We start from the raw sequence: 18,512 nt of genomic DNA, 5'->3' as shown, positions 1-18,512 counted from the left end.
AAATGTCCTGAAAAAGAGCCAGGTGGAAGCTGCATGCCTTCTGCCATGTTTTTTTGTTGTTTTTTGTTTTGTTTTGTTTTGTTTTGTTTTGTTTTTTTGAAATGGAGTCTCTCTCTGTCGCCCAGGCTGGAGTGCAGTGGTGCCATCTAGGCTCACTGCAAGCTCCGCCTCCTGGGTTTACTTATGCCATTATCATGCCTCAGCCTCCCAAGTAGCTGAGACTACAGGTGCCCACCACCATGCCTGGCTAATTTTTTGTATTTTTAGTAGAGAAGGGGTTTCACCATATTGGCCAGGATGGTCTCGATCTCCTGACCTCGTGATCCGCCTGCCTCAGCCTCCCAAAGTGCTGGGATTACAGGTGTGAGCCACCGCACCCGGCCACCTTCTGCCATGCTTTTATGTTTTAATTTTTTTCGAGACAGGATTTCACTCTCTTGCGCAGGCTGGAGTGCAGTGGCACAATCTTGACTTACTGCAGTCTTCACCTCCCATGCTCAAGCGATCCTCCCACCCCAGCCTCCCAAGTAGCTGGGACTACAGGCACGTCCCACTGCACCCAGCTAATACTTGTATTTTTAGTAGAGACAGGGTTTTGCCATGTTGGCCAGCTGGGTCTCAAATTCCTGAGCTCAAGTGATTCACCTGCCTGGGTCTCCCAAAGTGCTGGGATTACGGGTGTGAGCCACTATGAGCCACTATGCCTGGCTGCAGCCATGTTTTTAAAACTACCATGTGGTTTGTCAGCATTTCAAAACATCAAATAGTACTCCTCTTCTCTAGAGCACACTTCTTCTCTGGAGCACATCTAATCCTTAACTGGAACATCTGTAAATAGGGAAATAGCTCCAAAAGCCAATGATGGAAGATTACGAAGCTATATATTGGTGTTGATTGGCTAGTTCAGAAATTAGAGGAAAGTAAAATTTTTCACTGGGCTAAAGTTGGCTATAAAGTCTGATGCTCAACTTGAGAAGAACAAGAGGAAACATGAAGTAGAAAATTAAAAAAAAAAAACACAAGGAAAATGGACAAGGGACATGAACAGAAAAAAGCATCACCCAGTTGAGATGCCCGCATTGTGAGCTTCTCTCCATCCCCAGGATCTTATTCTGGGGCTCATGGATGGGTTTTGGGGCTCTAAACCATTCTCACTGAAGACAGCTTTGAGTGTGTACACACGTGTACCTCCTGGAGAGGCCCAGCCCCCAGAAGAGGCCTGAGCAGGCTGGACCCTCAGCTCCAGAAGGCAGGTGCGAACCCTTCCTTAGGCTCCTGTGGTACAGGTTGATAGGACAGCCTCTGGACTCTGCAGTGTGAAAACAGGAATGGAGTGATGCCATGTGAATTTACATGCACTTTACATTATCCCTGGAGAATCTCTGAGATGATTAGGATGTGGATATGCTTTGCTTTGGGCTTAATCTGGGCTAAAAAGCTGCCAATCACTTATTTTATTAAATCTAATTTATTATTCTTCTTATTATTTTTTAGCACAAAGATTGTGTGGTTCCTTACCTTCTTCGACTTCTCAAAGGTCTTCCAAAAGTGTATTGGGTAGAAGAAAGCACAGCTCGGAAAGGCAGAGGTAATTGTATATAATGTTTTCCCTGAATATAAGAGAAAATACACATGTTCAGTGTCTGTAGGATCAAGTGTTTATTCATACTGACACATCAGATGCATCTTGTCTCCCTCCTGGCTGGGAAACAACTGCCTGCAGCATTGTGGGCTGAGCTTACATCCATGTGTTGGCCACAGCCCATGGATGAGTTGGGGAGAAGGTAGGCCTGGGTAGGCCAGCTTTCCATTGCATTCTTCTGAGAGTGAGCAAGAACGTTGAGACCTTCAAGAACCTTTTCTCATGTCTCATTGGCCAGAATTGGGTCATCTGCCCGTCCCCAAATCAGTCACTGTTACCCTTAGAATTTATAGGCTCACTCCTGGAGTGAGGTCAGTTTTCCAGATTATATTGCTGCTGCTCAAAAAGGGTGAGATGGAGGTTGGAGACCCAACAGCAATGTTCACTGTAAATAGTTTCATCACTTTGTTTCTAAGTTCCAGTTAAACTTTGCACCTTTAGAAACGGAATAAATTGGCTGGTATGGTGGCTCACTCCTGTAATTCTAGCACTCTGGGAGGCCGAGGTGGGCAGATTGTTTGAACTCAGGAGTTTAAGACTAGTCTGGGTCGGCCGGGCGTGGTGGCTCATACCTGTAATCCCAGCACTTTGGGAGGCCGAGGCGGGTGTATCACGAGGTCAGGAGTTCAAGACCAGCCTGGCCAATATGGTGAAACTCTATCTCTACTAAAAGTACAAAAATTAGCCGGGCATGGTGGTGTGTGCCTGTAGTCCCAGCTACTCGGGAGGCTGAGGCAGAAGAATTGCTTGAACCCAGGAGGCAGAGGTTGCAGTGAGCCGAGATATGCTACTGCACTCCAGCCTGGGCGACAGCACGAGACTCCGTCTCAAAAAAAAAAAAAAAAAAAAACAAAAACAAACCAAAACTAGTCTGGGCAACATGTCCCAGTCTGCTAAAGATGGGTTTTGCTGTTCTCATTAACATTCTGGGCCCCGCAACACCACCGCCACAGGCATGAACGCATGCACAGAGGTCACCAGCTCTAACTCTGTGCTACCACTGCCATTGGTGCAAATGTGCACACAGACCCCAGCGGCCGTGCACCACTGCTACTGCCAATGCCCACATAGAGGCAGGCAGCCCCAGGCCTCCTAGCACCCTGCCTCAGCCAATGAGCATGCACCCCATTGCACTGCTGGTGCTGCTGTCACAAGCAAATAGGCTGCCACTATCCGACAGAGTGCTTTGGCTGGCACTACCCTTCAGAGTGTTGTGGCTGTGGCCCAAGAACACCTCAACCCCTCCAGTGCTGCATGTTCTCAACCTCAGAGAGCCAGAGAACAAAGCTGAGTGCCCAATACCAGCCCCCCAGTGTTGGAGGACATAGCCCAGGAGTGCTGAGCTGAGCCTTAGTCCCCCAAAAATCTGTCAGAAATGAAGCCAGTTGACTGAACCCAATCAAACCCCCAAAGACATCAAAGAAGATAAAAGCACCACCCCCAAAAAAATCCATCCAAAGGACAGCAGCTTCAAAGATTGAAAGAACATTAGCCAATGAAGATAAGAAAGAGCCAGCACAGGAACTCTGGCATCTCCAAAAGCCAGTGTCTTCTTGCTGCTAAGTTGACTGCACTAGTTCCCCAGCAGTGGTTCTTAACCAAGCCAAAATGACAGAAATAGAATTCAGAATATGGATAGGAACGAAGATCATCAACATTCAGGAGAAAGTTGAAACCCAATCCAAAGACTGTAAAGGATACAATAAAACGATATAGGAGATGTAAGATGAAATGGCCATTTTAAGAAAAAACCGGCCGGGCACAGTGGCTCACACCTGTAATCTCTGCACTTTGGGAGGCCAAGGTGGGTAGATCACTTGAGGTCAGGAGTTCGAGACCAGCTTGGCCAACATGGTGAAACCCCATCTCTACTAAAAATACAAAAAATTAGCCAGGTGTGGTGGCAGGTTCCTATAATCCCAGCTACTTGCGTGGCTGAGGCAGGAGAATCGCTTGAACCTGGGAGGTAGAGGTTGCAGTGAGCTGAGATCATGCCACTGCACTTCAGCCTGGGTAACAGAGTGAGACTCCGTCTCAAAAAGAAAACAACCAAACTGAGCTGATGGAGCTGAAAAACTCACTTCAAGAATTTCGGCTGGGCGCAGTGGCTCATACCTGTAATCCCAACACTTTGGGAGGCCAAGGCAGGTGGATCACAAGGTCAGGAGTTCAAGACCAGCCTTGCCAAGGTGATGAAACCCCATCTTTACCAAAAATACAAAAATCGGCTGGGTGTGGTGGCGCACGCCTGTAAATCCCAGCTACTTGGGAGGCTGAGACAGGAGAATCGCTTGAACCCGGGAGGCAGAGGCAACAGTGAGCCGAGATCGCGCCACTGCACTCCAGCCTGGGCAACAGAGCAAGACTCCATCTCAAAAAAAAAAAAAAAAAGAATTTCAAAATAAACAACAGAATTGACCAAACTGAGGAAAGAATCCCAGAGCTCAAAGACCAGCTCTCCAAAATAACTCAGACAAAAATAAAGAAAATAAAGAATGAACACCTCTGAGAAATATGGGATTATGTAGAGACCAAATATACAACTCATTGGTGTCCCTGAAAGATAGGGAGAGAGAAAATAAGCAACTTGGAAAACGTATTTCAGGATATTATCCATGAGTATTTTCCCAATCTCACTAGAGAGGCCAAAATTCAAATTCAGGAAATGCAGAGAACCCCTATGAAATACTACACAAGAAGACCATCCCCAAGGCACATAGTCATCAGATTCTCCAAGGTCTAAATGAAAGAAAAAAAATGTTAAAGGCAGCTAGAGAGAAGGGACAGGTCACCTTCAAAGGGAGTCCCACCAGGCTAACAGCAGACCTTTTAGCAGAAACTCTACAAGCCAGAAGAGAATGGAGGCCTACATTCAGCCTTTTTGTTTTGTTTTGTTTTTGTTTTTGTTTTTGTTTTTGTTTTTGTTTTTGTTTGTGTTTTGAGAAAGAGTCTCACTCCATCACTCAGGCTGGAGTGCAGTGGTGCGATCTTGGGTCACTACAACCTCCGCCTCCCAGGTTCAAGCAATTCTCATGCCTCAGCCTCCTGAGTAACTGGGGACTACAGGCACACACCACCATGCCCAGCTAATTTTTGTATTTTTAGTAGAGACAGGGTTTTGCCATGTTGACTAGGCTGGTCTTGAACTCCTGGCCTCAAGTGACCCCCACTCCTCAGCCTCACAAAGGTGCTGGGATTGCAGGCATGAGCCTCTGGGCCTGGCTCATATTCAGCATTGTTAAAGAAAAGAATTTGCAACGAAGAATTTCATATCCGGTCAAACTAAGCTTTATGAGTGAAGGAGAAATAAGATCTTTTTGAGACAAGCACATGCTAAGGGATTTCTTTACCACCACCTGCCTTACAGGGTCTTGAAGGGAATGCTAAACATGGAAGGGAAAGATTATTACCAACCACTACAGAAACACACCTAAGGGCTGGGCACAGTAGCTCACACCTGTAATCCCAGCACTTTGGGAGTCTAAGGCGGATGGAACACCTGAGGTCAGGAGTTTGAGACCAGGCTGGCCAACATGGTGAAACCCCGTTTCCACTAAAAAGACAAAAAATTAGCTGAGCATGGTGGCAGATGCCTGTAGTCCCAGCTACTCAGGAGGCTGAGGCAGGAGAATCACTTGAACCCAGGAGGTGGAGGTTACAGTGAGCCACAGTCGCATCACTGCACTCCAGCCTGGGCAACAGGAATGAAACTCTGTCTCAAAAAAAGAACAAACAACAACAATAACAAAACACACCTAAGTACCTAGACTAGTGACACTATAAAGCAACCACACAAACAAGCCTACATAATAACCAGCTAACAATATGGTGACAGGAACAGAGCCACACATATCAATATTATGAATGTAAATGGACTAAATATCCCTTTAAAAGACACATTGTGGCAAATTGGATAAAGAAGCAAGACCCAATGGTATGCTGTCTTTAAGAGACCAATCCCACATACAGTGACACCCATACATTCAAAGTAAAAGGATGAAAAAAATCTGCCAAGCAAATGGAAAATGGAAAAAAGAGCAGGGATTGCTATTCTGATTTCAGACAAAATAGACTTCCAACCAACGAAGATCACAAAAGACAAAGAAAGGCATTACATAATGGTAAAAGGCTTGATTCAGCAAGATTTGACTATATCCAACACGGGAGCAAATTTATACATATCGAACACGGAAGCAACCACATTCATAAAGCAAGTTCTTAGAGACCTATGAAGAGGCTTAGGTAACCACATAATAACTGGGACACTTCAACACCCCACTGACAGTGTTAGACAGATCATCAGGGCAGAAAACTGTTAAAGATATTCAGGATTTAAACTCGACACTTGACCAAATGGACCTAATAGATATCTACAGAACACTCCACTCGAAAGCAGCAGAATATACATTCTTCTCATCTGCACATGCAACATACTCTAAAATCAACCACACTATAAGACATAAAACAAGCCTCAGCAAATTCAGAAAAACTGAACTCATAGGGCCACAGCACAATAAAAATAGAATTAAATACTAAGAAAATCACTGAAAGCATATAATTACATGAAAATTAAATAACCTGCTCCTGAATGACCTTCGGGTAAATGATGAAATTAAGGCAGAAATCAAGAAATTATTTGAAATTAATGAGAATGAAGATACAACATACCAGAATCTCTGGGACACAGCTAAGGCAGAATTAAGAGGGAAGTTTATAGCATGAATGCTGACGTTGAAAAGTTAGATCTCAAATTAACAACCTAACATCACAACTAGAGGAACTAAAGAAATAAGAACAAACTAACCCCAAAGCTAGCAGAAGATAAGAAATAACTAAAACCAAAGCTGAGCTGAAGGAAATGAGATATGAAAACCATACAGAAGATCAACAAATCCAGGAGTTGGTTTTTTGAATAAAAAAAAAAAGATCACTAGCTAGACTTACAAAGAAAAAAAGAGAAAAGGTCCAAATAGACACAACCAGAAATTGATAAAGGGGACATTACCAGTGACTCCACAGAAATAATAATAATAAAAAAACCCAACCCAGAGAGACAAACACCTCTATGCCTACAAGCCAGAAAACCTAGAAGAAATGGATAAATTCCTGGACATATACAACCTACCAAGACTAAACCCAGAAGAAATTGAATCCCTGAACAGACAAATAACAAGTTCCGAAATTGAGTCAGTAGTAAAAAGTCTGCCAGCTGAAGAAAGCCTAGGACCAGATGGATTCACAGCTGAATTCTACCAGATGCATAAAGAAGAGCTGGTACCACTCCTACTGAAACTATTACAAAAAATTAAGGAGGAGGGACTCCTCCCTAATTCTATGAGGGTAGCATCATGCTGATACCAAAACCTGGCAGAGACACAACAAAAAAAGAAAACTTCAGGCCAATAGATGAACATAGATGCAAACATCCTCAACAAAATACTAGGTAACTGAATCTAGCAGCACATCAAAATGCTAATCCACCAGGTCAAGTAGGCTTTATCCCTGGGATACAGGATCGATACAATGTATGCAAATCAATTAATGTGATTCATGGCAGAAACAGAACTAAAAACAAAAACCATGTGATTATCTTAATAGATACAGAAGAGGCTTTTCATAAAATTCAATATCCCTTCATGTTAAAAATCCTCAACAGGCCAGGCGTGGTGGCTCACGCCTGTAATCCCAGCACTTTGGGAGGCCGAGGTGGGCGGATTACGAGGTCAGGAGATTGAGACCATCCTGGCCAACATGGTGAAATCCTGTCTCTCCTGAAATACAAAAAATTAGCCAGGCATGGTGGCAGGCATCTGTAGTCCCAGCTACTCGGGAGGCTGAGGCAGGAGAATCGCTTGAACCCGGGAGGCAGAGGTTGCAGTGAGCCGAGATCACGCCACCGCACTCCAATCTGGCAACAGAGCAAGACTCTGTCTCAAAAAAAAACCCCAAAAAAATCCACAACAAACTCTAGGCATTGAAGGAACATACTTCAAAGTAATAATAGCCATCTATGACAAACCCATAGCCATCATTATACTGTATGGTCAAAAGCTCGAAGCATTCCCCTTGAAAACCAGAACAAGACAAAGATGCCCTCTCTCACCTCTCCTATCCAGCATAGTTCTGGAAGTCCTGGCCAGAGCAATCAGGCAAGAGAAAGAAATAAAAGGCATCCAGATAGGAAGAGAGGAAGTCAAACGATCTCTTTTCATAGATTATATGATTTTATACCTAGAAAACCCTATAGTCTCTGCCCAAAGCCCCTTGATCTGATAAACAACTTCAGCAAAGTTTCAGGATACAAAATCAATGTACAAAAATCAGAAGCATTCCTATACACCAACAACATCCAAGCTGAGAGCCAAATCAAGAACACAGTCCCATTCACAATATTCACAAAAATAATAAAATACCAGTCGGGCATAGTGGCTCACGACTGTAATCCCAGCACTTTGGGAGGCCGAGGCAGGTGGATCACTTGAGGTCAGGAGTTCGACACCAGCCTGGCCAACATGGTGAAACCCATCTCTGCTAAAAACACAAAAATTAGCTGGGCATGGTAGTGCACGCCTGTAATCCCAGCTACTTGGGAGGCTGAGGCAGGAGAATCGCTTGAACCTGGGAGGCGGAGGTTGCAGTGAGCCGCGATTGTGCCACTGCCCTCCAGCCTGGGCGACAGAGTGAGACTCCATCTCAAAAAAAAGAAAAGATAAAATACCTTGGAATACAGCTAACCAGGGAGGTGAAAAATCTCTATAGCAAGAATTACAAAATACTGCTGAAAGAAATCAGAGCTTACACAAACAAATGGAAAAACATCCCATGCTCATAGATAGGAAGAATCAATATTGTTAACATGGCCATACTACCCAGAGCAATTTATGGATTCAGTGCTATTCCTATCAAACTACCAATGACATTCTTCACAGAATTAGAAAAAAACTATTTTAAAATTTTTATGGAACCAAAAAAGAGCCTGAATAACTAAGGTAGTCTGAAAAAGAGTAAAGCTGGAGACATCACATTACCCAACTTCAAACTTCACCTCTACTACAGGGCTACAGTAACCAAAACAGCATGGTACTGGTAAAAAAAATAGCACATAGACAAATAGAATAGAGAGCCCAGAAATAATGCTGCACACCTGGAACCATCTGATCTTCAACAGAGTCAACAAAACAAGTAATGGGGAAAGGACTCCCTGCTCAATAAATGGCGCTAGGATAACTGGCTAGCTATATTCGGAAGATTGGAACTAGACCCCTTACTTACACCTTATACAAAAATCAACTGAAGATGGATTAAAGATCTAGATGTAAAACCTTAAACTATAAACACCCTGGAAGATACTAGGAAATACCACTCTGGACATAGACCCTGGCAAAGATTTAATGGCAAAAATTTAATGACAAAGATGCCAAAAGCAATTGCAGCAAAAACAAAAATTGACAAATGGGACCTAATTAAACTAAAGAGCTTCTGCACAGTAAAATAAACTGTCAAGAGAGTAAACAGCCACCCTACTGAATGAAAGAAAATATTTGCAAACTATGCAAAGGTCTAAAGTCCAGAATCTATGAGGAACTTAAATTTACAAACAAAAAAAAAACCCCGTTAAAAGGTGAGCCAAGGACGAATAGATACTTCTCAAAAGAAGACATACAAGTGGCCAAAAATATATGAAAAATATGCTCATCATCTGATGCTAATAATCAGAGAAATGCAAATCAAAATTGCAATGAGATACCATCTCACACCAGTCAGAATGGCTATTATTAAAAAGTCAAGAAATAACAGATGCTGGTGAGGTTGTAGAGAAAAGGGAACACTTACACACTGCTGGTGTGAATGTAAATTAGTTCAGCCATTGTGGAATGCAGTTTGGCAATTTCTGAAAGAATTTAAAACAGGATTACCATTTGACCCAGCAATCCCATTATTGGGTATATACTCAAAGGAATGTAAATCATTCTACTGTAAAGATGCATGCGTAAGTATGTTTATTACAGCAGTATTCACAATAACAAAGATAAGGAATCAACCTAAATGCCCATCAGTGGAAGACTGGATAAAGAAAATGTCGTATGTGTACCGTGGAGTACTGTGTAGCCATAAAAAAAGAAAAAGATTATGTCCTTTTATTTTTTATTTTATTTTATCTTTTTTTGAGACGATCTCGCTCTGTCACCCAGCTTGGAGTGCAGTGGTGCGATCTCTGCTCACTGCAACCCTCGCCTCCCAGGTTCGAGCGATTCTCCTGTCTCAGCCTCCCAAGTAGCTGGGATTATAGGCATGTGCCACTACACCCGGCTAATTTTTATATTTATAGTGGAGATGGAGTTTTGCCGTGTTGGCTAGGCTGGTCTCGAACTCCTGGCCTCAAGTTATTTGCCTGCCTCAGCCTCCCAAAGTGCTGGGATTACAAGTGTGAGGCCACCATACCTGGCCAAGATCACGTCTTTTGTAGCAACATGGATGGAGCTGGAGACCGTTATGGGAGAATTAGCACAGCAACAGGAAACCAAACGCTGCATGTTCTCACTTGTAAGTGGGAGCTAAACTTCGAGTACATATGAACACAGAAGGGAACAGCAGACACTGGGGCCTACTTAAGAGTGGAGAATAGGAGGAAGGTGAGGATGGGAAAACTACTTTCTGGGTACTATGCTTATTACGGGGATGATGAAATAATCTGTACACCAAACCCCCGTAACATGCAGTTTACCTGTATAACAAAACTGCGTATGTACCCCTGAACCTGAAATAAAAATTAAAAAACATTCTGTTTGTGCCAGTATTCCTCTTAACCTTTGGGTTTTCATCATTTCTGGTAACATGCCTAAAACTGACAGATCCCAAATTATGCATGTACCTGCAATTTGTTAGGATTTTGTTTGTTTTTTGTTTTTTTGAGACAGTCTCACTCTGTCTGCACTCCAAGCTGTAGTGCAGTGGCCTGACCTCGGTTCACTGCAACCTCCACCTCCTGGGTTCAAGCAATTCTCGTGCCTCAGCCTCCCAAGTACCTGGGATTACAGGCATGCATCACCATGCCTGGCTAATTTTTGTATTTTCGGTAGAGATAGTATTTTGCCATGTTGGCTGGGCTGGTCTTGAACTCCTGGCCTCAAGTGATCTGCCTGCTTTGGCCTCCTAAAGTGCTAGGACTATAGGCATGAGCCACTGCACCCAGTCTGTCCTGCAATTTGATGGACTACAAATTAAATAGAGCATCATTACTAAAAGGTCAAATTTTAGGCCGGGCATGGGCACATTCAAGTTTGAGAACAGCCTAGAGCTGCACTTTAAAATTTTAAGTGCTGGAGTAGAAATGTAAGTCTTCTGTCATGTACTATGAATATAGCTATTAAATAGTGGATACTCTTTTTTCCTTGATTCAACATTCAATATTCAAAATTGATTTTTTTTTTTTTTTTTGAGATGGCGTCTCATTCTGTCACCCAGGCTGGAGTACAGTGGTGCGATCTCGGCTCACTGGAACCTCCACTTCCTGGCTTCGAGCTATTCTCCTGTCTCAGCCTCCCAAGTGGCTGGGATTACAGGTGTGCGCCACCACACCCAGCTAATTTTTGTATTTTTAGTAGAGACGGGGTTTCACCATGTTGGCCAGGCTGGTCTTGAACTCGACCTCAGGTGATCCGTCTGCCTTGGCCCCCCAAAAGTGCTGGGATTACAGACTTGAGCCACTTCGCCCAGCCGAGTGTTTTGTGTGTGTGTGTGTGTGTGTGTGTGTGTGTGTGTGTGTGTGTGTGTGATTTATCACATTTACTTAGGGAATAAAAAATTGAATCTGTCATGTTGAGAGGCTTTGTTATCTCACACTAGCTATTGGCTCAGGAAACATTTAAGTTTATTGAACCAAAACATTTACTTAAAGGAAAGGTAAGGGTGTTTCTCAGCAAACTCATTGGGCCCATAGCTGTTCTTTTGAGACTCGTCTCAAGGAGGGCAGCTGCTGTAAACTGGTCCCTTGGCAGGTCATGGTGAGAGGGAACATATTGAATTGGATGGCCAGAGGTGTGACCCAGTATCTGGTTCCTGGTTATCTGATTTATGTTTTTACATCTTCCAGGTGCCCTCCCGGTTGCAGAGAGCTTCAGCTTCTGCTTGGTAACTCTGCTGTCTGATGTGGCCTATAGGGATCCTTCACTTAGGGATGAGGTAAGCATGTGTTGGTTGATTTGGTATGCATTTCTATTAGATTGAATAGAGTCCCAAAGTGATGAAAAGATTTTAAAAACGTGAAATGTGATTGAATTGTTTGTTGATATTTATCTATTTCATCCTGTTGACAGCAGACCTAAGACATGCTTAGGTCTTTCACTACTCTTTAGGATCTCGAGTCTTATCTTATTAAACTTTTCTTTTTTTTTTTTTCTTTTTTCTAATGAAGGGCAGGGGCTGCAGAGACATGAGCAGCACTATCCCTTTCAGCTTTTCAGAAAGTCCTTTAAGGTAGGCGGCAGAAAAAGGCAGAGGCAGCTCATTTTTCTTGCTCTTTGTTGGGGATTGAAGTCATTCATAGAAGATCATTTTCTTTTCTTTTTTTGAGGCAGTCTTGCTCTGTCATCCAGGCTGGAGTGCAGTGGTGCAATCTTGGCTCACTGCAACCTCTGCCGTCCACCTCAAGCCAGCCTCCCTCCTAAGACTCCCAAGTAGCTGAGACTATAGGCGTGCACCATCATGCCAGCTAATTTGTTTTGTATTTTTTGTAGAGACAAGGTTTCGCCATGTTGCCCAGGCTGGTCTTGAACTCCGGGCCTCAAGTGATCCTTCTGCCTCGACCTCCCAGAGTGCTGGGATTATAGGTGTGAGCCACTGTGCCCAGCTAGAAGAGAATCTTCTAGGTAGCTGAAGCTTTTATCTTTAAGGGCACAGACTTTCTTTAGATTTTGTTAATTTTGATAGAAATGTTACAAACATGTATTTCATACTTTCCTGTTCTTTAAACAAAGAATGTAATCATACAACTTTTTCTTAAATTTATCGCTTAGAAAGTTAGTTTTTGTATGCTGCTGTTCCTAGGTTCTTCCAAACAGTGCCTAGTTGCTTGTCTGCATTCTAAATGTTCCCAGTTAGTGATGTATTTTGACTAATTTAGATTCTTCATTTATTTGTAGGTTGGCTAAAGAAATACTTAAATATGTTAGAATAATGTGTTTTTATTAAAAAGTTGGACATTAAGGGCTTTTTTCTATGAATAAAATTTATCAGAATAAAGAGGTCAACACCAAAGGTGATAACATGACTTTAACATATAAAATGGAAAAAGTGGCTGGGTGCGGTGGCTCAGGCTTGTAATCCTAGCACTTTGGGATGCTGAGGCGGGTGGATCACCTGAGGTCAGGAGTTTGAGACCAGCCTGGCCAACATGAAGAAACCCCATCTCTACTAAAAATATAAAAATTAGCCGGGCGTGGTGGCAGGAGCCTGTAATCCTAGCTACTCGGGAGGCTGAGGCATGAGAATCACTTGAACCTGGGAGGCAGAGGTTGCAGTGAGCTGAGATCATGCCATTGCACTCCAGCCTGGATAACAGAGTGAGACTCGGTCTCAAAATAAATAAATAAAATGGAAAAACTATTGCTTTTCAAGCTTTTGTAGATTATTCAGCATTACTTAATATTAGGAAAATGTAAGAGATTTGACTTGGTTATGAACAAGTCATGTCACACCAACTTCATTTTTTCTTTGCCTGGGTTTTCTAAGAAGAATGGTTGAGAGAAATGAAGTTGCTGCATTCTAGTGGATCTTCATAAATGCTTTGGACAAGCACCTTTCCTGACATCCTGGACCAGTTATATGGGCTGAGGGCCAAATGGTTTGGAGGGTTTGCAGAACTGCCTGAAGGACTGTCCCAAAGGGTGATCAGTGAGGTATCGGCCTAGCAGGACCCTCCTGTCATTGGAGCAAAACAAGCTAGTGCTGTGAATGAAGATCTGGAAAGCAAGTTGATTTCATTTGGAGAAGGCACAAAGCTGGGAATCACAGATTTGTACAGTGAGCTAAAGCTAATACCATGAGTTTTTGTAGGGGTAGATGAAAGATAAAAAATACCAACTACGTTAGTAGAGATTACATAGTTCAGGAGAAGCAGGTGCGAAAGAAGACTTAGGTATCTTCCTCATCTATAAGCTTATTGTCATGGATGGTGGCTCACGCCTGTAATCCCAACATTCTGGGAGGCTGAGGCAGGAGGATCACTTGAGCCCGGGAATTTGAGACTAGCTTGGGCAGCATAGCAAAACCTATCCCTACAAAAATAAAAATAAAAATTAGCTGGGCATAGTGACACATGCCTGTAATCCCAGCTACTTAGGAGGCTGAGGCAGGAGGATTGCTTGAGTCCAGGAGTTTGAGGCTACAGTGAGCTATCATTGAACCCCTGCACTGTTCTTGGCTCACTATATCCTCGGCCTCCTGGGCTCAAGTGACCCTCACACGTCAGCCTCCTGACCACAGGCACGCACCACCACACCTGGCTAATTTTTGTATGTTTTGTAGAGACAGGGTTTTGCTACTTTGCCCAGGCAGGTCTGAACTCCTGAGCTCAACTGATCCACCCGCTTCAGCCTCCCAAAGTGCTGGGATTGGCTGGGCACAGTGGCTCATGCCTATAATCCCAGTACCTTGGGAGGCCGAGGTGGGTGGATCGATCACCTGAGGTTGGGAGTTTGAGACCAGACTAACCAACATGGAGAAACCCCGTCTCTACTAAAAATAAAAAATTAGCCAGGCGTGGTGGTGCATGCCTGCAATCCCAGCTGCTAAGGAGGCTGAGGCAGGAGAATCGCTTGAACCCAGGAGGCGGAGGTTGTGGTGAGCCGAGACATGCCATTGCACTGCAGCCTGGGCAACAAGAGTGAAACCGCGCCTCAAAACAAACAAACAAACAAAAGTGCTGGGATTATAGGCATAAGCCACCCTTCCAGGAACAAAAAAAAATTTCTTAACTTAAATAATTATGGACTGGGCGCAGTGGCTCACGCCTATAATCTCAGCACTTTGCGAGGCCAAGGCAGGTGGATCACCTGAGGTCAGGAGTTCGAGACCAGCCCGGCTAACATGGTGAAACCCTGTCTGTACTAAAAATACAAAAAATTAGCCAGGCATGGTGGCATGCACCTGTAATCTTAGCTACTCAGGAGACTGAGTCAGGAGAATCGCTTGAACCTGGGAGGTGGAGGTTGCAGTAAGCCAAGATCATGCCACTGCACTCCAGCCTGGGCAACAAGAGCGAAACTTCGTCTCAAACAAATAAAAAAAATTTAAAAATTATGTATAAGCTCATTGAGATGAGCTTCACATAAGCAGTGTGAAGTGGCTGCAGAAAAGCTAATGTCACATACATAGAAGTGTAGAATCTGTGATGAGTTTGGTGAGTATGCTGGGTGAGTTCCAGCATCCCAGATGTTAATGTATTTTATTCTGAGCACTACACTTCCAGACAGAAAACTGGACTACCGTAAAATCAGAAGCTGGCAATTAGCATTACAAAGGATTTATGATCATGAAGAATACGGTTGAAAAGCGCTAGGGCGTTTACCCATGAAAAGAGAAGATTTGGGGACCCATCACCTGTTTACAGAATATGTTAATAGAGGAAAAAGCAGCCCCAAGGGCTGGTAGGTACAAGCCCCAGGAGGACAACATTGGCCCAGTATTGGGAGGAACTCGGAACCAGCCCAGAGAGTGAGGGTTTTGTCCCTGGAAAGTCAGCTGGTTGGCCACTTGGCACAGTCGTTGTGGAGGGATGTATCATATATGGGGTTGGTTAAGATAATGTCTGAAGTGCCTTCTAATTCTGACTTAGTTTCGTGATATTTACCTAATTTTGTTTATGTTTTTTTTTTCTTGTTTCCTTGACTGTTACAGATTTTAGAGGTGCTTTTGCAGGTTTTGCATGTCCTCTTGGGGATGTGCCAGGCCTTGGAGATTCAAGACAAAGGTACGAGTATCCTTAAGGTTTTTCTTAAAATGGTTTTGTGGTTACTCTTTCCCTTGCTTTTCTCCAGTCTTTTCTGTTGTTGGGTACCTAATATATATGATGGGAGAAAACCTTCCTATTTTAGTTTGATTTGTTGTGTGTTAGTATCCTCAGAGGCCACATGGGGTCATGTGCATTGCTCTGCTACATAGACGCTGGGTCACCTTGGACAAGTAACTTCACCCTTCTGGGCCCCAGTTTCTTCACCTGTAACATCTGTGGGTAGATTAGTTGACTTCCAAAGGTCATTTTTTCTGTGTTGTGAGGCTACCAATATGCTCCTAAGAGGAATAAATGTATAAGGTACTTGATAATATGGCCTAGCTATTTTATTGATTTGGGTGTGCCATGAATAGATGAAGACCTTCCAAGCAGGGCAGCTGGGTGTATTGAAGTCATAGTCTGAAGTTGTTAATGACAGGTTGAAGATATCACTTGTCAGCCCTTGGGGTGGACCCCATTATTGTGGCTTATTGTGAACCTTCACAGTTATTAGTGGGTGGGTTGTGAAATCTTAGTCAATGTTACAAGTTAGTACTTACTATATGACTCTATCAGGATACTTTCTTATATTGTAACGTTTTCACTTGATCTTCTAGAATACCTTTGCAAGTATGCTATCCCATGCCTGATAGGAATCTCGCGAGCATTTGGGCGTTACAGCAACATGGAAGAGTCTCTCCTCTCAAAGCTCTTTCCCAAAATCCCTCCTCATTCCCTCCGTGTCCTGGAAGAGCTTGAAGGTGTTCGAAGGCGTTCCTTTAATGACTTCCGCTCCATCCTCCCCAGCAATCTGCTGACTGTCTGTCAGGAGGGTACCCTGAAGAGGAAAACCAGCAGTGTGTCCAGCATCTCTCAGGTGGGCCTGGGCTACTGGGGAAAGAGCAGAGGAGAAAGACCCTGTTAAGCTCCCCTGCGAAGAAAATCCCTCTTCTTTGTAGTTGGAGTAAACTTAAGTAACGTGAAATGTTTCACTAGAATTCTCTTTAATACAAAGACTTGTCTTGTCCCTCTTAAGATGTTGGGGGGAAGGGCTTATAGAGTGCACATATAAACTGGCCATAAAAATATAAAACAATGAGGTGTAAAAAGCCACAAAAGGCCTCTAAAAAAAAAGCCTTATCGCCATTATGTTCCCATACTCTGAGCAAGACTTACTCTCTTATCCATAAACACTGTGTTAAAAAAAAAAAAACCACTCCTTTAAAACATGAAAATATGGCCAAACATACAGACTCCTAGTTAAGCCTGCTCCCACTAACTGCTGTCCAATAAGTTGAAAATATACTGTTTAAACACAAAAAAAATTCATTTAAACTGCCGCTACTATAGATTACACATATGACACACTGCCTCCCTTTCACCGTTTCGCCCTAAACATCTGCTTCTTAAATCTAAGTGATTATACTCAATAAATAGTGTAAAAACCAAAACTCTAGGCCTTTGCGGCCTCTGATTTGCTCTGGTCCCCTGGCTCCCGCCTTTATAAACTCTTAACCTGTTTCTTCTCATTCCTTTGTCGCCACCAAACATCAAATACCCTACAGGTGGTGTTGAGGCTAGTCCCCAACATAAGATTTATAAGTGATTTCATAGTCATAAAGTATATGTTTCATAGCAGTTGGGTGCCAAATGCTATTTTGCCTGGAAGACAGTTGGTGCCCTTAAGAAGTATATAATTGACTCATGGAGAAAAGACAAAAACACAAAACACTGAGGACAATTCAGCTCAGTAATCAAGTGTCAAATATACGGCTAAACACAAAGAATTTAGTGATATAGCATGTAGTAGAGAATGCTGTAGCTGTGATGGGCTTTAGGAAGGAAATGAGGCTTCAACCAGAACTTGAAGTACAAACATTGGGCTGGCAGAGAGGACCTTGTCTAAGACAAATCTGATGGAGGTCTCACTGGTCTTTTCTGATATGTAACTGTGGTTGTGTGTTTCAGGTCAGCCCTGAACGCGGCATGCCCCCTCCCAGTTCCCCTGGAGGATCTGCCTTTCACTACTTTGAAGGTGGGCTTCACCTTTCCGAAGAATATTTTGACGTAATACTTGGAGAACAGGCTCACAGTGACTTCTCGTGATATTAAGGATGCTGATACTAACTCTGTTGTCATGGATGGACCTAGAGTGCCAAGCTTTTAGGAAGCATTTATTTTCTGTTTTCATTTAAGTTTCTTAAAATTTAATTTTCAAATATTTTATATATAGAGAAAAGTACATTTAATTTTCAAATATTTTATTTAGAGAGAAAAGTACAGAAAATAACTTACAGACCCCTATATACCTGCCATCAGAATTTTTGCACTTTAACTTGTAAAAGTTCTTTTCAGGTGGAAGTACTAATGGTGGATATTTCTTTTCTTTTTCTGAGATAGAGTCTGGCTCTGTTGCCCAGGTTGGAGCGCAGTGGTGTAGTCTCGGCTCACTGCAGGCCCTGCCTCCTGGGTTCAAGCAATTCTCTTGCCTCAGCCTCCCAAGTAGCTGGGATTACAGGCACACACCAGCATGCTCAGCTAATTTTTGTATTTTTAGTAGAGACAGGGTTTCACCATGGTGGCCAGGCTTGTCTTGAACTCCTGACCTCAAGTGATCCACCCATTTCTTCCTTCCAGAGTGCTAGGATTACATGCATGAGCCACCACACCTGGCTGGACATTTTTTTTTAATGACATTAAGTATGTAGATAATATTAAAGAATGTAGTAATACTACTGTTACTACTTTTTTTTTTTTTTTTTTTTTTTTTTTTTTTTTTTTTTGGAGAGAGAGTCTCACTCTGCCACCCAGGCTGGAGTGCAGCGGCATGATCATGGCTCACCGCAGCTTCAACCTTCTGGGCTCAAGTGATCCTCCCAC

General features: G+C 43.1%; 1 protein-coding gene across 8 annotated transcripts in view; it reads left to right on the top strand.

Moving 5' to 3' along the window:
* PI4KA (phosphatidylinositol 4-kinase alpha) overlaps nt 1-18,512 on the top strand; it is a 151,121-nt gene that overhangs the window by 22,662 nt on the left and 109,947 nt on the right. For all 8 annotated transcript variants that reach the window (NM_001362863.2, NM_001362862.2, XM_005261635.2 and 5 more), the window contains exons 3-7: nt 1,495-1,588; nt 11,736-11,824; nt 15,539-15,611; nt 16,250-16,509; nt 17,601-17,667. In NM_001362863.2, the coding sequence (NP_001349792.1) occupies nt 1,495-1,588; nt 11,736-11,824; nt 15,539-15,611; nt 16,250-16,509; nt 17,601-17,667 (583 nt within the window). The remainder of the gene's footprint in view (nt 1-1,494; nt 1,589-11,735; nt 11,825-15,538; nt 15,612-16,249; nt 16,510-17,600; nt 17,668-18,512) is intronic.

This window comes from Homo sapiens, chromosome 22 (assembly GCF_000001405.40).
Source record: "Homo sapiens chromosome 22, GRCh38.p14 Primary Assembly".
Lineage (NCBI taxonomy): Eukaryota > Metazoa > Chordata > Mammalia > Primates > Hominidae > Homo > Homo sapiens.
Note: the sequence above shows the minus strand (reverse complement) of the source record. Positions and strands in the feature narration are given on the sequence as shown.